We start from the raw sequence: 23,720 nt of genomic DNA, 5'->3' as shown, positions 1-23,720 counted from the left end.
ATTTTAAAAGCATGAATGAAGTGGAATGCAAAATCAATGATATCAATGAGTGTATTTTACTTTTGTATTTTACTCTTCTTTTTTTTGAGACGAGGTCTTGCTCTGTCCCCCAGGCTGGAGTGCAGTGGTGTGATCTCAGCTCACTACAACCTCCATCTCCCAGGTTTAAGCAATTCTCCTGCCTCAGCCTCCCAAGTAGCTGGGATTACAGGTGCATGCCACCACGCCCGGCTAATTTTTGTATTTTTAGTAGAGACGAGGTTTCACCATGTTGGCAAGGCTGGTCTCGAACTCCTGACCTTGTAATCCACCTGCCTTGGCCTCCCAAAGTGCTGGAATTACAGATGTGAGCCACCACGCCCAGCCTTATTTTAATTCTTAGCATGTATGAGGGTATGTCACCTAGACCCATGTGTCAATTGCTTTTTTAAAATATGCATATTTAAAATGGAAGGATTACAAAATTCAGTAATGCTATATAGACTGAATAAAAATTTAGTTTTTGTTTTCAAAATAAAACTCATAAGCAAATAAATCATTTTGTTTGAATGCTTCAGTTTTAAGTAGTATTATAAACAAATTTCACTACTGAATCTTGTGGTCCAAGCTTCCATATTTCTTCTCTTTCAGGTCAGTAGAGAAAATATTTTTCATGCCTATGTTTTGAAAAGAATCGTAATCAAAATTAAAAACAACAGTGCAAATCTCTTGAAATCCAAAATGAATCATAAAAATATTAAAGTATGATTAATACTATTAACTCTTTTGTAATGCAAGAATTACTTGGGCACTTAGCCAACATGTACAACAACATACAGTTATATGAGAAACTTAGTCATCTGTCTTTAGGTGCATAAATGTCTAAACCTATTAATTCTCAAGGGAGATGAGAGATGAATACAGAATAAGCTAAAAACATTTTTCAAACTAGGCACAATCCCTCTCTCTATTAGACTAGGGACAGGGAAAATGTAAATGCTTGGGAAAACTTGTAACTTAATCAGAAAGCTACGCCCCTCACCTTGTTAAACCCCCTTCCTAAGAACTTCTCTGCCGGGCACAGTGGCTCACGCCTGTAATCCCAACACTTTGGGAGGCCAAAGTGGGTGGATCACGAGGCCAACATGGTGAAACTCTGTCTCTACTAAAAATACAAAAATTAGCCAGGCGCGGCGGCAGGCACCTGTAATCTCAGCTACTCGGGAGGCTGAGGCAGGAGAATTGCTTGAATCTGGGAGGTGAAGGTTGCAGTGAGTCGAGATTGCACCGCTGCACTCCAGCCTGGTGACAGAGCAAGACTCTTGTCTCAAAAAAAAAAAAAAAAAGAACTTCTCATCTAACCATCTTTATGATGATCTTCTACAAGGAAAGATTTAGTAATAACAATCATAATAAAATAATGACAACACCTTATATTGAATATTACTTTGCTATTTACAAAGTCCTTTCATTTAATTATTTAATTTGACGCTTACAATAGCTCTATGAAGTAGTCATGGTAGATACTCATTTTGCAACTGAGAAGTCACTTCTTTGAAGGAATATATATATATACACACACACACACACACACATATATATATCTCTTCAATAGTTTCAGCTATATATACTACAGCTGGGGCTAGGATTTAAGGTTATCTGATGCTCAGTCCAGTTCTCTTTCCCTGTATAATACAGTTTCCTTGAGATGGTGCTTCCTGAATTTTTTTAAAGTTGTTTTAACTTAAATGCAAGTCAAATTCTTCAGTTTCCTCTCATACGATTCCTATTTCTGGGTTAAGACTTCTGAAAACATGAAAGGAAATGAAACGTGAGCAAAACATAGATTTAAGAACTCCTAGGCATGGATCCACCAAAGACAACTCAACAAGAAAAAGGGTGTGACCTAATGCTGTGTTTCCAAAAGCAATGATTAGGGAAAGGAAGACAACAATCTGAGAGGAGCAAGAGAGAGCTGGTTTAACTCAGCTATTAACCCTCAGTTCAGCTCCCCCAAAGTCATATTAGCTTCTTAAAATAAACAGAAGAAAAAGTACTGAGATTCAAACCCTTGGCCAAGGGAAAACCACATTGAATACAGTGGGAATCAAGTCAAGAAGTCTTCCACATCATAACAGAGTCAAGTCTGAACAGAATTGACCAAGCAGGAAAAAAATGAAAATAAATGTAATGGAAGCTCTGAAAACATACTATAGGAAAAGAAACAAGGAAAGAAGAGAGAGAGAAAGAGGGAGGGAGGGAGGGAGGGAGGAAAAAGGGAATGACAGAAAAGACCTTGAAGAAAAATCAACTTAAAGATCAGAAGGAGGCCGGATGCGGTGGCTCACGCCTATAATCCCAGCACTTTGGGAGGCCGAGGTGGGTGGATCATCTGAGGTCAGGAGTTCGAGACTAGCTTGGCCAATATGGTGAAACCCCTTCTCTACTAAAAATACAAAAATTAGCCGGGCGTGGTGGCAGGCGCCTGTAATCCCAGCTACTCAGGAGGCTGAGGCAGGAGAATCGCTTGAACCCAGGAGGTGAAGGTTGCAGTGAGCCGAGATTGTGCCATTGCACTCCAGCCTGGGGGACAACAGCAAAACTTCGTCTCAAAAAAAAAAAAAAAAAAAAAAAAGATCCCAAGGAAATTATTAAAATTTGCTTCATGCCATAACATACATTAATGAGACTATTAATTCAATAAAGTGTGAGCTCAAAGAGAAGATGATAAAACCACAGAATGAGATTAAAAAGATGTGACTGAAACTATATCATCATAGGACTAATCAGTAAGCTAGAACATGGCAAGGAAGAATAGATACCACTGAATATAAAATCATAAAGCATAAAATATGAATTCAAGTAGAATAAAAATAATGCTAATAAATTAAGGAAAAATAAAGGATCAAAATTCCAACTAATAATCGTTGGCTTCTCTGTGCTAGAGAAACTACAAATGCACCAGAAGCTGTGGTGAAAGATACAATAGTAGAAAAATTTCCACACTCTCACCCCAAGTGAAGGAAAAAAATCTGGATATGCAAATCGGTTCCAAGAAAATTGTATATAGAATGCTCAATATAGAAACTACCTTAGTTAGTAACCACTGAACATCAAGTACAAAGAAAGAATTCTTTAGATGTCCAGGAAAGCACATCGCCCACTGTAATGGTTAATTTTATGTGTCAACTTGACTGGGCCATGAGGTGCCCAAACATCTGCTCAAACATTATTCTGGGTGTGTCTGTCAAAATGTTTCTGGGTGAGATTCACATTTCAATTTATAGACCGAGTAAAGCAGATTGCACTCCCCAATGTAAATAATCAACTGAAGACATGACTAGAACAAAAAGGCTGAAGAAAAGAGAATTCTTTCTGCCTGGTTACAAGAGCTTTTCTAGCCTTGCGACTTGGTCTAAAACAATGGTTCTTCCTGGGTGTCAAGCATGCTAGCATTTAGACCGAACTATTAGAACCATCAGTTCTCTTGGTTCTCGGGACTCCAGATTCAGACTCAGACTGGCTCTCCTGGGACTCCAGCTTGCTGCCTCCAGGTCTTGAGATTTCTCAGCTTTCATAGTTGCATAAGCCAATTCCTTATAATAAATTACACACAGAGGCACACACATGCACATCCTATTGGTTCTGTTTCTCTGGAGAACCCTGACTAGCACATATATACAAAGGTGAAAAAAAATCAGACTGGCTTCCCAGGTATTCCTAGTAACATACAATGGCAGAAACTAGAGACACATTCACAAATTCTAATGAAAAGAAACGGTGGCCAGGCACGGTGGCTCACGCCTGTAATCACAGCACTTTGGGAGGCTGAGGAGGGTGGATCACCTAAGGTCAGGAGCTCGGGAACAGCCTGGTCAACGTGGTGAAACCCCGTTTCTACTAAAAATACAAAAATTAGCCGGGTGTGGTGGTGCGCCTGTAATCCCAGCTACTCAAGAGGCTGAGGTGGGAGAATTACTTGAACCTGGGAGGCGGAGGCTGCAGTGAGCCAAGATCGCACCACTGCACTCCAGCCTGGGCAACAAAGCAAGACCCCGTCTCAAAAAAATAATAATAATAATAAATAAGAAAAGAAACTGTGACTCCGGAGCACAGATTCAGTCATGGCATCTTTCTAGTATAAAGACCATAACAGATAGTTTTAAACATAAAAGAACTAGGAATATCACTGAAGTGCCCTTCTTGAAAAAATATGTGACAATGAAATCTAAACAAATAAAAGGTGAATCAAAGTAAAGATCAGAGAAGCTATGGTACAAAGACTGGTGGGGAACAACACTTCCACTTAAACCAAGAAGTTATACTAAAACAATGAAAACTATGATTACAGAAAGTAAACACTGTAAATCTGGATAACTTGAAAATAATATAACTAACAGCCAGTGAAGACGGGCAAAGAGAAGATGGAAGAGTATTAATGTTCACACTTTATACTACCTAAAATTGAGGGGAAAATATTTTTATTTTTAAAATTATTTATTTTATTTTATTTTATTTTATTTTTTTGAGACACAGTCTCACTTTGTCACCCAGGCTGGAGTGCAGTGGCACTATCTCGGCTCACTGCAACCTCCGCCTCCCAGGTTCAAGCAATTCTCCTGCCTCAGCCTCCTGAGTGGCTGGGATTACAGGCATGCACCACCACACCTGGCTAATTTTTGTATTTTTAGTAGAAATGGGGTTTCGCCATGTTGGCCAGGCTGGTCTTGAACTCCTGACTTCAGGTGATCCGCCCGCCTCGACTTCCCAAAGTGCTGAGATTATAGGGGTGAGCCACCACGCCCAGCTGGAAAATACTTTTAAATGTTCTTCACAACCTCTTTTATAACTTTAGAGGGATAATTTAGGAAATATTTCTTGGGGAGGAGAAACATTTTTTTTTGAAGTCCAACAATTCCTCCAGTTATGTTTCATTTTATTTTTCTTCTACTGAATTCAACAGTTTTTATTGAGAAACAGTACTTAGGCCATGATGACATTTTTATACAATATCACTATTTGAGTGCATGCATAGAAAGAGGCAAGTCCCTTCGGTGTTAACTGTGGCAGTGTCTAGGTGGTGGTATTTTAGGTGATTCACATTTACTTTTCATTTTTACTTTCCTAAATAGTTTGAATTTTTTTTTTTTTTTTTTTTTTTTGAGACGGAGTCTCGCTCTGTTGCCCAGGCTGGAGTGCAGTGGCATGATCTTGGCTCACTGCAACCTCCGCCTCCTGGTTTCAAGCGATTCTCCTGCCGCAGCCTCCCGAGTAGCTGGGACTACAGGCACACACCGCCACGCCCAGCTGATTTTTTGTATTTTAGTAGAGACAGGGTTTCACCATTGTTGCCCAGGCTGGTCTCGAACTCCTGAGCTCAGGCAATCCACCCGCCTCAGCCTCCCAAAGTTCTAGGATTACAGGCGTGAGCCACCGTGCCTGGCCAGTTTGAATTATTTTTTAAAACATTTAAGCGGTTTAAAAAAAAAAATGCTAGACACTAAAATGCAAATTACCTAATATATACCTAACCGTTCTTTGTTTTTCTAAAATAAATTTTCAATTTCTAAAAATATCAAGTTGCCCCCTAGCTATCTAATTGCTATCAAATATTTGATGCAGTGCTTACAAAAAAAATGATGCAAAATTATTTCATGCACCTTTGCCTGTACTCTCTCTCAATGGAAGAGAGCTAGAGAATCTTAGGAAGGAAGAAAGGAAAAAAATTGGCTGGGCACGTTGGCTCATGCCTATAATCCCAGCACTTTGGGAGGCCAAGGCAGGTGGATCACCTGAGGTCAGGAGTTCGAGACCAGCCTGACCAGTATGGTGAAACCCCGTATCTACTAACAATACAAAAATTAGCCAGGCATGGTGGTGTGTGCCTGTAGTCCCAGCTACTCAGGAGGCTGAGGCAGGAGAATCACTTGAACCCGGGAGGCAGAGGTTGCGGTGAGCCGAGATCATGCCACTGCACTCCAGCCTGGGTGACAAGAGTGAGACTCCGTCTCAACAAAAAAAAAGGAAAAAAAGTAAGCCTTTTACTTTCTCCCACTTGAAACATACATGACTGCAGTCCATTTTACCTCCAGAGTAAATAAGTAAAAATGACCCAGACATTATCTTAATGAGGCAGAATTCATATAAGTGTGGGCCATGGTAGCAGGTTTGAATACTGACTCTCATTTCTAGGTCTGAATAGAAACCTCGGTTTAAATACTGACCCTTTGAAATCTAGGCTTGAATATTGACTCTCATTTCCTGGCTGTGTGACCTTGGCAAGTTCTTCTTTCTGATTCCCAGGGCATATGGCCACAGAACATGGTACATGATGGCAAGAATTAAACAGACAACATGTGTAAATAAATTGGTACGTATTAGGTCTTTGGTAAATGGTAGCTATTATTATTTTCAAAATAATTATTTCATTAAATTGAAAGAAGGGACTTGGAAAGACAATCAAATTAGAAAACATTCTGGAAACCTCTCCAAAGGCAACTTTTCCCACTTCCACGGCATCTATTACCTTTTTCGTGTCTACGGCAGGAGTGTGAGGGCCCTTTCCAGGGGAGCTGAGAATGGACAGTTTCAACAATGAAAAGTGGTAGTAGAGTCTCTTTCCTTCTCGGTACTATGTAGACCAACACAAAGCCTGGCTCTTTCTGGACTCAAGTAGAAAGGAGGTCTCTGCTCATGATTTCATGGTATCAGCTTTGTAGCATGCATCTGGATTAATTTTTATGAGCCCTTAGAGTATATCATTTACCAAGTTGTACGTGCAAGCAGGTTGCCTGACTTCCCAGAAACTAGGTTCACGAGATAGTGCTGAGCCTTTCCGGGTGAATGAATGACCAGAATGCAAGACCCTCCTAGCCCTTCACTGAACCGTGGCTCTCGAGGGTGTAGTTCTGCATGTATCACTGGGCTGCAGAAATGCTTTCCAGTCCAGCTCACAGCGCTATGCACACAGCTCCTCCTTCTCCATCTGAGGAGGGCATTTATAGGGCACACACAGCTGTCCAAAGAGGAACAACTCCTTCAGCAGCGCACTTTAGGCTTGGCTTTTGTGAGAGAAGAATAAACATGAGCTTTGTGGAAGTTAAAGATAAGAAAATACTGCGTCCTGGCTACAGGTCCAAGTCCAATCTCTTACACTCACAGAGCCCATCCTTTGAGTCATCAGCACAGAGCTTACCAGTCCTTACCAGTAAGGGCATTCTCTCAAGAATCTCAGGCTCTAATTCTAATCCTGAGTTAGGCTAGACAGCACACTTGCCACCCCCCACTTTGGTGTCAGGAGCTGATGTGCCAAATGTATATCAGGTCCTTAATTGCTGGGATGATTTTTTCACATTCACTTTTGGATCTTTTTTATCTTTTTCTTTTTTTTTTGAGACAGAGTCTCGCTCTGTCTCTCAGGCTGGAGTGCAGTGGCATAATCTTGGCTCACTGCAACCTCTGCCTCCCAGGTTCAAGCAGTTCTCTGCCTCAGCCTCCCGAGTAGCTGGGATCACAGGCACCCACCACCACGCCTGGCTAATTTTTTGTATTTTTAGTAGAGACGGGGGTTTCACCATCTTGGCCAGGCTGGTCTTGAACTCCTGATCTCAAGTGATCCACCCTCCTTGGCCTCCCAAAGTGCTGGGATTACAGGCGTGAGCCACCGCACCCAGCCTGGATCTTTATCTTCTATTATTTTGAGAGGATGGAAAAGCAACGTACAAATGCACTTTATAGCACTCTATCAGGCACTCTGAAAAAAAATGTGAACTCTCAGGCCAGGCGCAGTGGCTCACGTCTGTAATCCCAGCACTTTGGGAGGCCTAGAGGGGCAGTTCACTTGAGCCCAGGAGTTTGAGACCAGCCTGGGCAGCATAGCAAGACCCCATCTCTATAAAAAAGAAAAAAGTTTTCTAAATAAAAATTATAAAGTAACTTAAGAGTATAGTTTGATTGTTTGTAAGCCAGGTGTGGTGGTTCACACTTGTAATCCCAGCACTTTGGGAGGCCGAGGCAGCTGGAGCACCTGAAGTCAGGAGTTCAAGACCAGCCAGGCCAATATGGTGAAACCCCATCTCTACTAAAAATACAAAAATTAGCCGAGTGTGGTGGCGCACACCTGTAATTCCAGCTACTTGGGAGGCTGAGGCAGGAGAATCACTTGAATCTAGGAGGCAGAGACTGCAGTGAGCCAAGATCTTGCCACTGCACTCCAGCCTAGGTGACAAAGTGAGACTCATTCTCAAAAAATAAATAAATAGGCAGGGCATGGTGGCTCACACCTGTAATCCCAGCACTTTGGGAGGCCGAGGCGAGCGGATCACCTGAGGTCAGGAGTTCGAGACCAGCCTGACCAACATGGAGAAACCCCATCTCTACTAAAAATACAAAATTAGCCAGACGTGGTAGCTCATGCCTGTAATCCCAGCTACTCGGGAGGTGAGGCAGGACAATCACTTGAACCCAGGAGGCAGAGGTTGCAGTGAGCCAAGATCACACCATTGCACTCTGGCCTGGGCAACAAGAGCGAAACTCCATCTCAAAAAATAAATAAATAATAAATAAAAATTTAAAAATAAAAAATAATAATTGGATTGTTTGTAAAACAAAGAAAGGATAAATGCTTGATGTGATGATACCCCATTTAACTGATATGATTATTATGAATTGTATACCTGTATCAAAATATCTCATGTATCTCATAAATATATACACCTACTATGCACCCACAAAAATTTTAAAACACAAAATAAAATGAACCAAGGACTTTAGCAGATGCATCACTAAAGAAGATTTAGGCTCTATCACCTGCCACCACTGCCCGGGCCCAAGTGGTTCACTGAGCTGTGAAGACAGATTCCAGACGCTGGGAACTCACGCCTCCAATCCCAGACGCTGTGTCCAGCAGAGGCTCCATGGTTCTGGCCTACAGTGGCAGCCTGGACACCTCCTGCATCTTTGTGTGGCTGAAGGAACAAGGCAATGACATCATTGCCTACCTGGGCAACATCGGCCAGAAGGAAGACTTCAAGGAAGCCAGGCACTGAAGCCCGGGGCCAAAAAGGTGTTCACTGAGGATGTCAGCAGAGAGTTTGTGGAGGAGTTCATCTGGCTGGCCATCCAGTCCAGTACACTGTATGAGGACCACCTCCTGGGCAGCTCTCTCCCCAGGCCCTGCATCGCCCACAAACAAGTAGAAATCACCCAGCAGGAGGGGGCCAAGTGTGTGTCCCATGGCACCACGGGAAAGGGCAATGATCAGGCCCGGTTCAGCTCACCTGCTACTCGCTGGCCCCCCCAGATAAAGGTCATTGCTCCCTGGTGCATGTTCGAGTTCTACAATCGGATCAAGTGCCTCAACGATCTGATGGAATATGCAAAGCCACACGGGATTCCCATCCCAGTCACTCCCAAGAACCCGTGGAGCATGGATGAGAACCTCATGCACATCAGCTATGAGGCTGGAATCCTGGAGAGCCCCAAGAACCAAGCGCCTCCAGGTTGCTGCACGAAGACCCAGGACCCAGCCAAAGCCCCAACACCCCTGACATTCTCAAGATCGAGTTCACAAAAGGGGTCCCAGTGAAGGTGACCAACATCAAGGATGGCACCATCCACCAGACCTCCTTGGAGCTCTTCGTGTACCTGAACGAAGTCGCGGGCAAGCACCGTGTTGGCTCTATTGACATCATGGATAACCGCTTCATTGGAATGAGGTCCCGAGGTATCTACGAGACCCCAGCAGACACCATCCTTTACCACGCTCATTTAGACATTGAGGCCTTCACCATGGACCAGTAAGTGTGCAAAATCAAACAAGGCCTGGACTTGAAATTGGCTGAGCTGGTGTACACCGGTTTCTGGCACAGCCCTGAATGTGAACGTGTCCGCCACTGCATCACCAAGTCCCAGGAATGAGTGGAAGGGAAAGTGCAGGTGTCTGTCCTCAAGGGCCAGGTGTACATCCTCCGCTAGGACTCCCCACTGTCTCTCTACAATGAGGAGCTGGTGAACATGAATGTGCAGGACCATTAGGAGCCAATCGATGCCACCGGGTTCATCAACATCAATTCCCTCAGGCTGAAGGAATATCACCGTGTCCAGAACAAGGTCACTGCCAAATAGACCCCTGTACAATGAGGAGCTGGGGCCTCCTCACTTTGCAGAGCCCCCAAGTACGGGCACTAATTGTTGTAATAATTTCTAATTGCTACTTGTTCTCCCTGGCTGGTAGCGTAGTAAGGCTGCCAGGCTCCAGCCTTGTTCCCTGGTCCCCCATGAAGCCTGCAAAAGTGGTCAGCGAAGGGAAGGGTTGGGGGCAGCTGCAGTGGGGAGCTATAAAATGACAATTTTAAAAATATACATTTAAAAAGGAAGAAGATTTACAGGAAAATAAGCATATGAAAGATGCTCCACATCATATGTCATCAGGGAAATACAAATTAAAACAACAATGAGATACGCACTTATTACAATGAACAAAACCTGGAAGGCTGAAAACACCAAATACTGCCAAGGATGTGGAGCAAGAGGACTCTCATTCACTGCTGGTGGAAATGCAAATTGGTACAGCCACTTTGGAAGACAGTTTGCAGTTTCCAACAAAACTAAACATATTCTTACCATACACTCCAGCTGTCATGCTCTTTGGTAGTTACCCAAATGAACTGAAAATTTATGTCCACACAAGAACTTGGCTCACTGCAACCTCTGCCTCCCAGGTTCAAGCGATTCTCCTGCCTCAGACTCCCAAGTAGCATCACCATCTTGGCCAGGCTGGTCTCGAACTCCTGACCTATGGTGATCTGCCTGCCTTGGCCTCCCAAAGTGCTGGGATTACAGGTGTGAGCCACTAAGCCCTGCCAAGATGTCTTTCAGTAGGTGAATAGATAAACAAACTCTGGTACATCTAGACAATGGAACATTAAGTAGCTCTAACCAGAAATGAGCTATCAAGCATGAGAAGATATGGAGGAAACTTAAATGCATATTACTAAGTGAAAAACACCATCTGAAAAGGCTATGTATTGTATGATTCCAACTATATGACATTCTGAGAAAGGCAAAACTATGGAGACAATAAAAAGGTTAGTGGTTGTCAGGTCTTGGGGATTAGGGGGAGGATAAACAGGCATAGCACAGAGAATTTTTAGGGCAGTGAAAATAATCTGTATAATTCAATAATGTTCAATAATTCAAGGCATGTCATGCATTTCTCCAATCCCATAGAATGTACAACACCCTCATATGCAACTGTGAACTTTGGGTAACAACAGTGTGTCAATGCAGGTCCGTCGACGGGAACTACTGTTCCACTATGGTAGGGGATGTTGATAATGGACGAGGCTATGCATGTGTATGGGAAGGGAGTATATGGAAAATCTCTGTACCTTTCTCTCAATTTTGCTGTGAGCTTAAAAATGCTCTGGCCGGGCGTGGTGGCTCACACCTGTAATCCCAGCACTTTGGGAGGCCGAGGCTGATGGATAAACTGAGGTAGGGAGTTTGAGACCAGCCTGACCAACACAGAGAAACCCTGTCTCTACTAAAAGTACAAAATTAGCCAAGCGTGGTGGTGCATGCCTGTAATCCCAGCTACTCAGGAGGCTGAGGCAGGGGAATCGCTTGAACCCGGGAGGCAGAGGTTGCAGTGAGCTAAGATCGTGCCATTGCACACCAGCCTGGGCAACAAGAGCAAAACTCCATCTCAGAAAAAAAAAAAAAAGTAAAAGGACATGATTAGAGAAAATTGAAACAGCCCAAGTCACCAAATTCCTAAAGAAGTGATATCTGGTTCTATAGTTGCCTATCAGTGTGTTAATGTGTAGGTGTGGAGGCCTGGCTACACCCAACACCTACCTGGGAACCAAACAATTCCTACCAACTAATTCCTCCTTTTAATTCCTAGAGTTGTTGCTTTTCTTTCCCACACCTTTATTTACTCTCCCTCCCTCCTGGAGGAGGAGTTGAGACATCTGCAGATACACCTTCCTGGGAAGGTAACCGGCTAGGTCGTGGGAGTTTGAAGTCCAGCCCAAGCCCTCATCCTTATCTCATTGTCAATTGTCTTATAAGGAAATAGTCCAGGCACAACAATGTCTCCTCTTCCTCCAGGTCATGAGTTATTTCCTTATAGACCTTTTCTAACCAGTCTTACCCTTAAAAAAGGAGCTGAAGAACAAACCTGTGCCATTCTTGATGTGAGATGGGGAAGATTTGGAGGTACTGACCTGTGGAGTTTCCATTAATATGTAGCCGTGCACAGTGGCTCACGCCTGTAATGCCAGTACTTTGGGAGGCCGAGGTGAGTGGATCACCTGAGGTCAGGAGTTCGAGACCAGCCTGGCCAACATGGTGAAACCCCGTCTCTACTAAACACAAAAAATTAGCCGGGCATGGTGGCTCATGCCTGTAATCCCAGCTACTTTGGAGGCTGAGGCAGGAAAATCACTTGAACCCCAGAGGTGGAGGTTGCAGTGAGCTGAGATTGAGCCATTGTACTCCAGCCTGGGTGACAGAGTGAGACCCCATCTCAAAGAAAGAAAAAACAAAGTAATTACTCTCCTCATATAGTTGAGCATAAATTCAGCTAGCATGGACTTGGGGTTCTGCTGACAGGCCTCCATAATATATGCACAATATGTCCATCCAGAATGCATAAATATGGAGTGCATACCTATAGAATTACCTGCCTAACACGTCTTTTCTAAGAATGTATTTCTTCCCCACCCCGACTCTCACAACTCCCACTCAGGTACATTTTTACCACAGGAGTCACTTTACACATACCTTAGGGCCCTGTTCCCCGGTCATTGTTCATTCACCCACAGGTTAGCACTGGACTTAAGCTGGGCCACAGTCCTGCTTTGTGGCTCATAGCCTAGGGATGACGAGCAAGCTGAACTAATCTCTCTTCACTGGCTCCACATTTATTAATAGATATGAACTCACATGCTCCTGGCAAGCATGTCCTCCACTAAGAGAAGAAAGCCACTCTGAAATGAGAGAGTGAAGCCAACATTCAGAGGGGAACATGAGATGAGAAGAATCCTGACAACCTTCTAGTGTCTGGCTTTCAGCATTCAGAACCCAGCTGCATCTCTGCTCTTCCTGTGTCTTGATTATTCAATTATTCCTAGAATTCTATTTAAAAAACAAAAAACAGATCAAAAGAAAATACTGGAATCGGTTGGGTGCCATGGCTCGTGCCTGTAATCCCAGCACTTTGGGAGGCCAAGGCGGGCAGATCACCTGAGGTCAGTAGTTCCAGACCAGCCTGACCAACATGGAGAAACCCCATCTCTAGTAAAAATACAAAATTAGCTGGACGTGGTGGCAGGCGCCTGTAATCCCAGGTACTAGGGAGGCTGAGGCAGGAGAATCGCTTGAATCCGGGAGGCGGAGGTTGCAGTGAGCCAAGATAGCGCCATTGCACTCCAGCCTGGGCAACAAGAGCGAAACTCCGTCTCAAAGAGAAAAAAAAAAGAAAATACTAGAATCCTTCCAATCAGTTGCCCTTCTTACATAAGGTAGTTTATGTTGGGTTTCTAACATCTACAACAAAAAGTTCCTAAAAATTATAGAATGTGACGCTCTTCAGTGCTCAGATTGTGTACTAATGAGACATCACCTGATTCCTGGGAGAAGGAAGTGAGATAATGAACGCAGGATTGCTTTGTCACCTATACAACATGATTCATCGACGATCCTTCTGAAGCCCTTACATTCAACTGACTGAAAATAAAAATTTCTGCTTAAAGACCAAAGGGTTTGCCATGCTTTATAATTTTCTTACTTTTTCATACTTTCTGTAATATCACTTTTTTTGAAATCTTGAGAGTTACCCAGTCTCCTTTAGATTAATAGAAACTTGACTACAGAATCAATGCATGTTATATAGGCACAAGAATACCATTTGTAGAATAGCCTACTGTGGCACTTTCCCACCCCTAATGCCTGGACTCTGAGGGATCTGTGAAGTGGGCAAGACATTCTAGGGTTATTTTTAGCATTTTAAAATCTCTAGCTGGCCGCAGTGGCTCACGCCTGTAATCCTGGCACTTTGGGAGGCCGAGGTGGGTGGATCACAAGGTCAGTAGTTCAAGACCAGCCTGGCTGACATGGTGAAACCCCGTCTCTACTAAAAATACAAAAAATTAGCTGGCCGTGGTGGCAGTCACCTGTAATCCCAGCTACTCGGGAGGCTGAGACAGAGAACTGCTTGAACCCTGGAGGTGGAGGTTGCAGTGAGCCGAGATCGCGCCATTGCACTCCAGCCTGGGCGACAAAGCAAGACTCCATCTCAAAAACAAACAAACAAACAAAAAAACTCTAACGACAATTGTACTTGCACCATATATCTATTTACACAAGTTAACCGTAACATCATATTTCTTTGCTTTGTGCTAAAATTAGATCAATTCAGTCTTCCAGCTGACTAGCTCATGTTGCCCAAGTTCTAATTGGCTGTTGATGATACCCCTGGCATTGCTCTGGTGAAACTTGTGGATCAGACTGTTATCAGGTGGTAATATCCAAACAATACCCATAGTAGAATTGACCTGCAGGGAAGCACAGGGGTGAACAGCTGAAATTAAGGAACCTGTGGCAGTGAATATTGCCTATCCATTGCTATGTTTACATATCTCTGTGAATGAGATAAATATGTTTCTATTTGCTAGGAAAAGATGTTCAAAACATGAGAAAAAAGGGGAGAACAGGCTGGGTACAGTGGCTCATGCCTGTAATCCCAGCACTTTGGGAGGCCGAGGGGGGCCAGATCACGAGGTCAGGAATTCGAGACCAACCTGGCCAACATGGTGAAACCCCGTCTCTATTAAAAATACAAAAATTAACCAGGCGTGGTGGCATGCGCCTGTAATCCTAGCTACTGGGGAGGCTGAGGCAGGAAAATTGCTTGAACCCAGGAGGTGGAGGTTGCAGTGAGCCGAGACCACACCACTGCATTCCAGTCTGGGCGACAGAGCAAGACTTCATCTCAAAAACAATAAGAAAGGTTGTGGGGGAATACAACAAAAGGGGCCTTGGGTGAGGAATGGTAACTTCTGGTCTATGATACTATCTAGGATGGTGGCTCCCTTGGTGTGTTCCCTAGAATACTAATTCTGGGGTATTACAATTGAGTTACAAAAAGAAGAGTTATATGTTTTTTAAAGGGATACACTCACTATGCTTGGGCAACACTGAGCCAGACAAATTTGTTTGTTTTGTTGTATGATTTCTTAGAGCCTTTAACACCTTTGTACTTTGCGAATCTCCAAGAGGAAGTTAAAGTGTCTCCCAGACTTATCTGACCATAGAACCCTTCTTGTTTGCAGCATTTAATGAGAGTATTCCATGAAATAGACTTTGGGAAAAGCTGATCTAAAAAATGCTCATTGAGTGCTTCCTATTTTTAGGACCTGGCTCACATAGACATTGTCAAACAGAGGTGGCTCTGTCAGTTGGCAGAGTCACTTCACCTACCACCTAAAGAGCTCTTCCACCTCCCATCAAACCGCCTTCATTTCCGTCATTAAAATGTCATGTCGGCCAGGTGTGGTGGCTCATGCCTGTAATCCCAGCGCTTTGGTAGGCCGAGGAGAGTGGATCACCTGAGGTCAGGAGTTCGAGACCAGCCTGGCCAACATGATGAAACCCCGTCTCTACTAAAAATACAAAACTTAGCCAGGCATGGTGGTGTGCCTATAATCCCAGCTACTCGGGAGGCTGAGGTAGGAGAATTGCTTGAACCCGTGAGGCAGAGGCTGCAGTGAGCTGAGATTACACCATTGCACTCCAGCCTAGCCAACAGAGCGAGACACCATCTCAGAAAAAAATAAATAAATAAATAATAAATAAATAAAGTGCCACATCTTTGGTTTTTTGCTAATACTTTTGCTAATCTAGTGCCCAATATAGGTACTTCTCAGAAGGTGAGTCCAATTTCCTCAATCATTTCCTGGGGGAAAAAATACCTCTAATAGCAGAGCAGGGTGAATTAATAACCCTGAGTGAACTAAGTCTGTAGCAGCCAAATACTCAACATTTCCAAGTCTCCAGTTGGATTCCAACATTCTACACCATAATATATCCGTTTTCTTTAATATACACTGTTTTGTTTGTTGTTGTTGTTGTTTGTTTGTTTGTTGTTGTTGTTGTTTTGAGATGGAGTCTCACTCTGTCACCCAGGCTGGAGTGCAGTGGTGTGATCTTGGCTCACTGCAACCTCCACCTCCTGCCTCAGCCTCCCAAGTAGCTGGGATTACAGGCACCCACCACCTCGCCTGGCTAATTTTTATATTTTTATATAAAACATGGTTTCACCATGTTGGCCTGGCTGGTCTCGAACTCCTGACCTCAGGTGATCCATCCGCCTTGGCCTCCCAAAGTGCTGAGATTACAGGCGTGAGCCATGGCACCTGGCCAATATACACTGTTTTAAATGATTTGGCAGCAAATAGGGTAGGTACTGTGATAATATGCACCAAGTCATAGCCCGTGGCTGTAGGTAACCCTGTGACACATTGTCCGGCTGGCTGAGAGACAGGCCTTGGGGAGGGGGCATGGGTGAGACCTCAAGGAGGAAGTCAGAGTCCCCGTGAGAAGGGGTGGTTGGTGAGTACCAAGGCATTAGTACAAAGCGGGAAGATGGCCAGGTGCGGTGGCTTATGCCTGTAATCCCACCACTTTGAGAGGCCGAGCTGGATGGATCACTAGGTCAGGAGTTCAAGACCAGCCTGGCCAAGATGGTGAAACCCCGTCTCTACTAAAAATACAGAATTTAGCCAGGCATGGTAGCAGGCACCTGTAATCCCAGCTACTCGGGATGCTGAGGCAGAAAATTGCTTGAACCCGGGAGGTAGAGGTTGCAGTGAGCCGAGATTGCACCACTGCACTTCACTCAGCCTGGGCGACAGAGCAAGACTCCGTCTCAAAAAGAAAAAAAAAAAAAAAAGCTGGAAGATGCGTCTGTAATTGTGTGCAGCCTCGTTCAAGTGGAAAGTGGCACTGCCACAGCCAGTACTTGAAGCAGTGGCCGGTCCTTCCTCAGCAGGCTCTATTTCCCTTTCCTCCTTCCAATAAGGAAAGCCGCTCCGTGCCCACAGTAACCTTTTTCAATGCTTCCTCTTTCCTTTTCTACTGCTTAACCTCATTTTTGTTATCCCCTCCACCCATTTTCTTTATTTTCTCTTCTACTCTCCTCCAATCCACGTAAGATTTACCATTGTCTAGGGGTGGGGGGATGGGCAGATAAGGGTGACCAGGATCAAAGATTTGCCATCTTTTTGTGATGAAGGAAACAATTTCAGTTCCTTTAATTTCATGCCATAAGATCTAAACGGCTATGAACACAGTGGTGAAGGGCAGGGGGAATAACATTCGGCCACCTTTTCTTCCACTCTGTAATTACTGGTATTGATGTCAGTGTTGGAAGTAGCTTTTGACATTGTCAAGTTCTAGTGGTTTTCAAGCTTTTGAAATTGAGGAACACTGTCAAATCAACTTATTTAGTTTTTTGTTTGCTTTTTTTTTCTTTGAGACAGAGTCTCACTGGGTGGAGTGCAGTGGCACAGTCCTGGCAAATCTTGGCTCACTGCAACCTCTGCCTCCCGGGTTCAAGCGATTCTCCTGCCTCAGCCTCCCAAGTAGCTGGGATTACAGGCTCATGCCACCATATCCAGCTAATTTTTGTATTTTTAGTAGAGACGGGGTTTCACCATATTGGCCAGGCTGGTCTCGAAATCCTGACCTCATGATCTGCCCTTCTCAGCCTCCCAAAGTGCTGGGATTACAGGCGTGAGCCATTGCGCCTGGCCTAAAATCAACTTATTTGTAACAAAGAAAAATAGCATTTTTTTTGTGTGTGTATACATGTAACCATTATATTAAATATTCAGGACCCATGAAACACAGCAGAAAAAATCTTCATCTATGTCTCCCTTCTGTCCCTGCATGCCCATTCTCTGAGGCTGCTATGTGTCTTTGGATGGAATTTAGTGCCAGCCTTTTCTGGTTCCTTTTAGATCTAAAGAAGAAAAAAGGACGGCTGGCCGCGGTAGCTCACGCCTGTAATCCCAGCACTTTAGGAGGCCAAGGTAGGCGGATCACCTGAGGTCAGGAGTTCGAGACCAACCTGACCAACATGGAGACACCCCTATCTACTAAAAATATAAAAATCAGCTGGGTGTGGTGGCGTGCGCATGTAATCCCAGCTACTTGGGAGGCTAAGGCAGGAGAATCGCTTGCACCCGGGATGCAGAGGTTGTGGTGAGCTAAGATCGTGCCATTGCACTCCAGCCTGGGTAACAAGAGCGAAACTCCATCTCAAAAAAAAAAGAAAAAGAAAAGAGGAAAGTCCTTTGCCCACTGTATTCCCTCAGTTTCAGTTCAGTTATTAATCCAATGAGTCCATTGGAATGAAAACTCTCAGCTCCTTTCAAAATTTATGCTTCTCTGCTCCCCAGTTAGCACTGCCTCAGGCTAAGCTCCAGCAATGAGAAAGGGAAAGGAGCTTTGGGTTGCTTTATTCTTATTCTCTATTATTTTATTATTATTTTTTGATACAGGGCCTTGCTCTGTCACCCAGTCCAGAGTGCAGTGGTGTGACTTTAGCTCACTGCAACCTCTGCCTCCCAAACTCAAGCCAACTTCCCACCTCAGCATCCTACAGGCTACGCCACCACACCCAGGTAAGTTTTGCATTTTTTGTAAAGATGGGGTTTTGCCATGTTGCCCAGGCTGGTCTCAAACTCCTGGGCTCAAGCCATCCACCCACCTCGGCCTCCCAAAGTGCTGGGATTACTAGCATGAGCCACTGCACCTGGCCTAGAGTGTGTCTTTGGTACATGCCAGAAACTGTCTCCTCCTGGTTTACAAACTGATGTCCCCAATAAACCTCTCCTTTCTACTATTTAGCCATCAGGATGGTCTTTTGGAAGATAACTCTTTCTCTCATGGGTTCTTGGGAGACTCTCACTTCTATGACTTTCCTTTCGTAAGTGGATGCCTTCAAGATGGGTGACTGAGTCTTCCATCAGTCCCTACCTCCGACTTTTCTCAAACTCCTGACCTTTTTTTTTTTTGAGACAGAGTTTCACTCTTGTCGCCCAGGCTGGAGTGCTGTGGCACAATCTCACATCACCGCAACCTCCGCCTCCCGGGTTCAAGTGATTCTCTAGCCTTGCCTCCTGAGTAGCTGGGATTACAGGCATGTGCCACCACACCCAGCTAATTTTGTATTTTTAGTAGAGACAAGGTCTCATCATGTTGGCCAAGCTGGTCTCGAACTCCTGACCTCAGGTGATCCACCTGCCTCAGCCTCCCAAAGTGCTAGGATTTTTTTTTTTGAGATGGAGTTTCGCTCTTGTTGCCTAGGCTGGAGTGCAATGGCGCGATCTCAGCTCACCGCAACCTCTGCCTCCCAGGTTCAAGCGATTCTCCTGACTCAGCCTCCCAAGTAGCTGGGATTACAAGCATGTGCCACCACGCCTGGCTAATTTTGTATTTTTAGTAGAGACGGGGTTTCTACATGTTGGTCAGGCTGGTCTTGAACTCCCGACCTCAGGTGATCCGCCCACCTTGGCCTCCCAAAGTGCTGGGATTACAGGCATGAGCCACCGCGCCCAGCCATTAGTGCTGGGATTACAGGTGTGAGCCAACATGCCCGGCTCCTCCAGCCTTTCTCTACTGAGGTCTCCTTGCTCTCCTAGGTAGCTCTCTGAAGTAGAATCTAAGGCAACCCCCCAGGCTAGCTCTTTCTCTTTCTTAGTTTGTATCTGGTCCACAGAAACATGCCCCTTTGGCCTTTCATACAAAGGCAGTACAGTTACTTCCTCAATTACAGTCCTCCAGGCCACGTCTACAGCCTCCTGCTCCAGATCTCTTAAGCCGGAGTCAGTCAGATACTGGTCCACTCATTCCCCTCACATGCGCAGGGGACACAAATCAAGTACTATAAGTGGTCAGGAGAAGCCCTTTTCACTGGTCATAGGGTAAGAAAAAGCACCCCCTTTTCCCTGCTTCAAGGGTAAAGGGTACTAACAGCACACTGACAACGCTCTGTAAAGATGTAAAAATCTTCCCATTTCCAACTCCAGTCTCGTTTTATTCCAAAGTGGGCGACGATTGCAAAACTAATTTTCAGGCCAGGCACGGTGGCTCACGCCTGTAATCCCAGCACTTTGGGAGGCCGAGGCGGGCAGATCACCTGAGGTCAGGAGTTTGAGACCAGTCTGGCCAACATAGTGAATCCCTATCTCTACTAAAAAAACACAAAAATTAGCTAGCTGGGCGTGGTGCCACATGCCTGTAACCCGAACTACTCAGGAGACTGACACACAAGAATCATTTGAATTCGGGAGGCAGAGTTTGCAGTGAATGGAGTGTGCCACTGCACTCCAGCCTGGGTGATAGAGCAAGACTTTGTCTCAAAAAAAATAAATAAATAAAAAATAAGTAGTTTTCAACATCTTTGTACTGGTTCTGCCTAATAGGTTTCTCCTACAATATGTTTTGAGTTCATATTTGTAACATTTGAACTAAGATAATATTTAGATGAACTCTAAATATTTAGGAATTTGAAAATATTGAAAATCGAAAATAAGAGTTAAAAATGATTGTTGCCAGGCAGGGTGGCTCACGCCTATAATCCCAGCATTTTGGGAAGCTGAGACAGGAGGATCACTTAAGACCAGGAGTTTGGGACCAGCCTGGGCAACAAAACATGACCCTGTTTCTACAAAAAAGAAATTTTAAATTAGCTGGGCATGGTGGCACAAGCCTGTAGTCCCAGCTACTCTGGAGACTGAGGCAGGAGGACTCCTTGAGCCCAGAAATTTGAGGTTACAGTGAGCTGATCACATCACTGCCCTGTAGCATGGGGGACAGAGAGAAACCCTATCAAAAAAAAAAAAAAAAAGATTGCTGTGGTCAAAGGTCAGCCTCCACCTCTATGAAATCAGTCAGGCATGTGCAGAATCTTTGAAATACCTGCATGGAGTCATCCCTGTTGACAAACACTACTAACCTTGTTCAGGCTGTTGCTATTTGAGATGAGTAACCTGAGGCCTAGATGAGTTCAGAGATTTACAGAGGATCACATAGTGATAGGCAGCAAAATAATGACCAAATCACGGTGCCTGGATGCCTATTCCTGTAAATTTATTGCCACTTGTGGCCAGATCCCATGACTCTTAGAGAGATGTATGTACATCCCGGGCAGGCCCTGTGGCTCTACAGTAAGAAACCTGACTTCAAATCCTGGCTCCTTCATGTAACCCTTGAGTGATCCTGGGCAAATCTCTTATCTTCTCTAAGTCTTGATTTTCTGTCTGTAAAATGACATTGATACTGGTATAAAGAACAAAATGGGTAATTTATAGGAAAGTACTTTTAAAACTGCTAGGCATTAGGTGAATGCTGTAGTTGTCATTATGATTACGGTATTGGGGGTGGAGATAACCATAGTTTGTTCAGGATAACCTTAGTCTTAGAATGATTATGAGACTTATTATAAGATCGCTAATTTATAATGGCGTTTAGTCATAAGAAATACATAATCTAGGCTGGGCACGGTGACTCACACCTGTAATCCCAGCAATTTGGGAGGCCAAGACAGGTGGATCACCTGAGGTCGGGAGTTTGAGACCAGTCTGATCAACATGGTGAAACCCCGTTTCTACTAAAAATACAAAAATTAGCCGGGCATGGTAGCTGATGCCTGTAATCCCAGCTACTCAGGAGACTGAGGCAGGAGAATCACTTGAACCCAGGAGGCAGAGGTTGTGGTGAGTCGAGATCGCACCACTGTACTCCAGCCTGGTTGACAGAGCAAAACTCTGTCTCAAAAAAAAAAAAAAAAAAAAAACCAGAAATACATAATCTAAATAAGTTCCAAAAGTTAGTTTTCCATATAACCTTTATGCAACTGTAAGTCTATACAACCTTGCCTATTAAAAAAGAATTTTAGGCAGGGTGTGGTGGTTCACGCCCGTAATCCCAACACTTTGGGAGGCCGAGGAGGGCAGATCACAAGGTCAGGAGTTTGAGACTAGCCTGGCCAATATGGTGAAACCCTGTCTCTACTAAAAATACAAAAAAATTAGCCTGGCGTGGTGGCACATGCCTGTAATCCCAGCTACTCGGGAGGCTGAGGCAGGAGAATCGCTTGAACCCAGGAGGTAGAGGTTGCAGTGAGCTGAGACTGTGCCACAGCACTCCAGCCTGGGCGACAGAACGAGACTCTGTCTCAAAAATTAAATAAATAAATAAATAATTTTAAAGAGAGTAGAAAGCATGTGTTACACTAATGTTATAATGTTAAAGAACAGTAAAGGAAATACACATTTTGTGCATATTCAAAAGCTGAGTAAAACAGCTAGATAAATAAACAAATTGAGATTACAAGACATCATGAAAGAAGGCACAGATGTCACCACCGGCCTGGGCAAAACAGTATCCAAAGCAAGAAGACATTTGCCCGCCACCAGGCTGTGGAAGAGGACACAGTCTTTCTCTGAGGAATCTCTGTAACAGGCCACAAGGCACCCACTTCAAAGTCACATGGTGCCTGAAAGTCTTTCTGACAGGCAGAGGAAAAATGCACACCAGGTGGCTCCCCCAACAGGAGTTCCTGGAACTAATCAATGTCAAAGGCACGGAGAAAGTCAGGGCAGGTCAAGGAGCGTCTTACTGAGGCTCAGAGGGGAGGCCGCTGGCAGAGGCTTCTTCCCCGAGCAGGAAACCACGCCCTTTATCCCTGCTTGATGTCTTTGGATTGCAAAATATATGCAATGCTCTTGTCTGACCTAAGAGCCCTTCAGAAAGAGGGAAGGGTGGGAGGGAGGAGGAGCACTCAACGGGGGAAAAACTTTAATCTTCTTTGTTACCATTTTCTGAGAGAAGTGAGGGAGATCAAAGGCAAGGGTTTCACTTAGACTGGAAAGCTGTAGTTACCATCCACTTTCAGCCTTCTGTAGGGGAGTACATGGCCAATCTTAAATTTGTTTTTATTTATTTAAGTAAAAGCGAGAGGAGCAAGTTTGGAATTAACCATGAGCACTGACCTAAATGATCCGCATATGGGAGATGAATGCCTTCTGCAGCATGGTGCAATATTATACAGGTAAACCAAAGGGTATGGTGACTAACAGGCAGCCCAGATTCCTTTATCTCTGCTGCTTAAAGCTACTTCATCTTGCATATTTTCTCAACATAAATCATATATGTATATGCTAAATCATTTGTGTTGGCTACTACAATGTGAAAAGAACATGTTCAAAGGAGGCACAATGATTTTTATTTTTTACTTAAAAAGTCTTTTCCTAACTGGGCGCGGTGGCTCACGCCTGTAATCCCAGCACTTTGGGAGGTTGAGGCGGGCGGATCACTTGAGGTCAGGAGTTTGAGACCAGCCTGGCCAACATGGTGAAACTCCGTCTTTACCAAAAATACAAAAATTAGCTGGGCGTGGTGATGCGCGTCAGTAATCCCAGCTACTCAGGAGGCTGAGGCAGGAAAATCGCTTGAACCCGGGAGGCGGAGGTTGCAGTGAGCCAAGATTGCGCCACTGCACTCCAGCCTAAGCAACAGAGCAAGACTCCCTCTCAAAAAAAAAAAAAAAAAAAAAAAAAAGCCGGTGCAGTGGCTAACACCTGTAATCCCAGCACTTTGGGAGACCAAGGTGGGTGGATCACCTGAGGTCAGGAGTTCGAGACTAGCCTAACCAATATATCGAAACC

General features: G+C 44.4%; 1 long non-coding RNA gene and 1 pseudogene across 1 annotated transcript in view, besides 5 other annotated features; one reads left to right on the top strand and one right to left on the bottom strand.

The window, feature by feature from the left end:
• LINC00501 (long intergenic non-protein coding RNA 501) overlaps window positions 1-12,824 on the bottom strand; it is a 28,994-nt gene extending 16,170 nt beyond the window's left edge. The window contains exon 1 of the long non-coding RNA NR_047465.1: window positions 12,769-12,824. This is a non-coding gene — a long non-coding RNA (long intergenic non-protein coding RNA 501). The remainder of the gene's footprint in view (window positions 1-12,768) is intronic.
• Window positions 1,698-1,898: a silencer, noted in NCBI's record as "peak4933 fragment used in MPRA reporter construct". NCBI's record gives its function as "represses an SCP1 promoter by STARR-seq MPRAs in K562 erythroleukemia cells {active_cell/tissue: K562}" and the evidence as "EXISTENCE:reporter gene assay evidence [ECO:0000049][PMID:32103011]".
• Window positions 6,993-7,082: an enhancer, noted in NCBI's record as "active region_20838". NCBI's record gives its function as "activates an Ori minimal core promoter by ATAC-STARR-seq in GM12878 lymphoblastoid cells {active_cell/tissue: GM12878}" and the evidence as "EXISTENCE:reporter gene assay evidence [ECO:0000049][PMID:35858748]".
• On the top strand, window positions 8,778-10,343 carry ASS1P7 (argininosuccinate synthetase 1 pseudogene 7; annotated as a pseudogene).
• Window positions 12,395-13,594: an enhancer, noted in NCBI's record as "P300/CBP strongly-dependent group 1 enhancer chr3:177011460-177012659 (GRCh37/hg19 assembly coordinates)". NCBI's record gives its function as "activates an origin of replication core promoter dependent on BRD2, BRD4, P300/CBP, MED14 and CDK7 cofactors, with strong dependence on P300/CBP, by STARR-seq in HCT116 cells {active_cell/tissue: HCT116}" and the evidence as "EXISTENCE:reporter gene assay evidence [ECO:0000049][PMID:35650434]".
• Window positions 18,628-18,842: a silencer, noted in NCBI's record as "fragment chr3:177006212-177006426 (GRCh37/hg19 assembly coordinates)". NCBI's record gives its function as "represses an EF-1alpha promoter that drives an FKBP-Casp9 reporter gene in an ReSE screen in phorbol 12-myristate 13-acetate-treated (for megakaryocytic differentiation) K562 erythroleukemia cells {active_cell/tissue: K562(+PMA)}" and the evidence as "EXISTENCE:reporter gene assay evidence [ECO:0000049][PMID:32094911]".
• Window positions 22,505-23,237: an enhancer, noted in NCBI's record as "OCT4-NANOG-H3K4me1 hESC enhancer chr3:177001817-177002549 (GRCh37/hg19 assembly coordinates)". NCBI's record gives its function as "activates a minimal SCP1, AML or CMV promoter by ChIP-STARR-seq in naive and primed H9 embryonic stem cells {active_cell/tissue: H9 hESC(naive and primed)}" and the evidence as "EXISTENCE:reporter gene assay evidence [ECO:0000049][PMID:30033119]".

This window comes from Homo sapiens, chromosome 3 (genome assembly GCF_000001405.40).
Source record: "Homo sapiens chromosome 3, GRCh38.p14 Primary Assembly".
In the NCBI taxonomy this organism is placed as follows: Eukaryota; Metazoa; Chordata; class Mammalia; order Primates; family Hominidae; genus Homo; species Homo sapiens.
The sequence above is the reverse complement of the archived record's forward strand: the minus strand, read 5'-3'. Positions and strand labels throughout refer to the sequence as shown.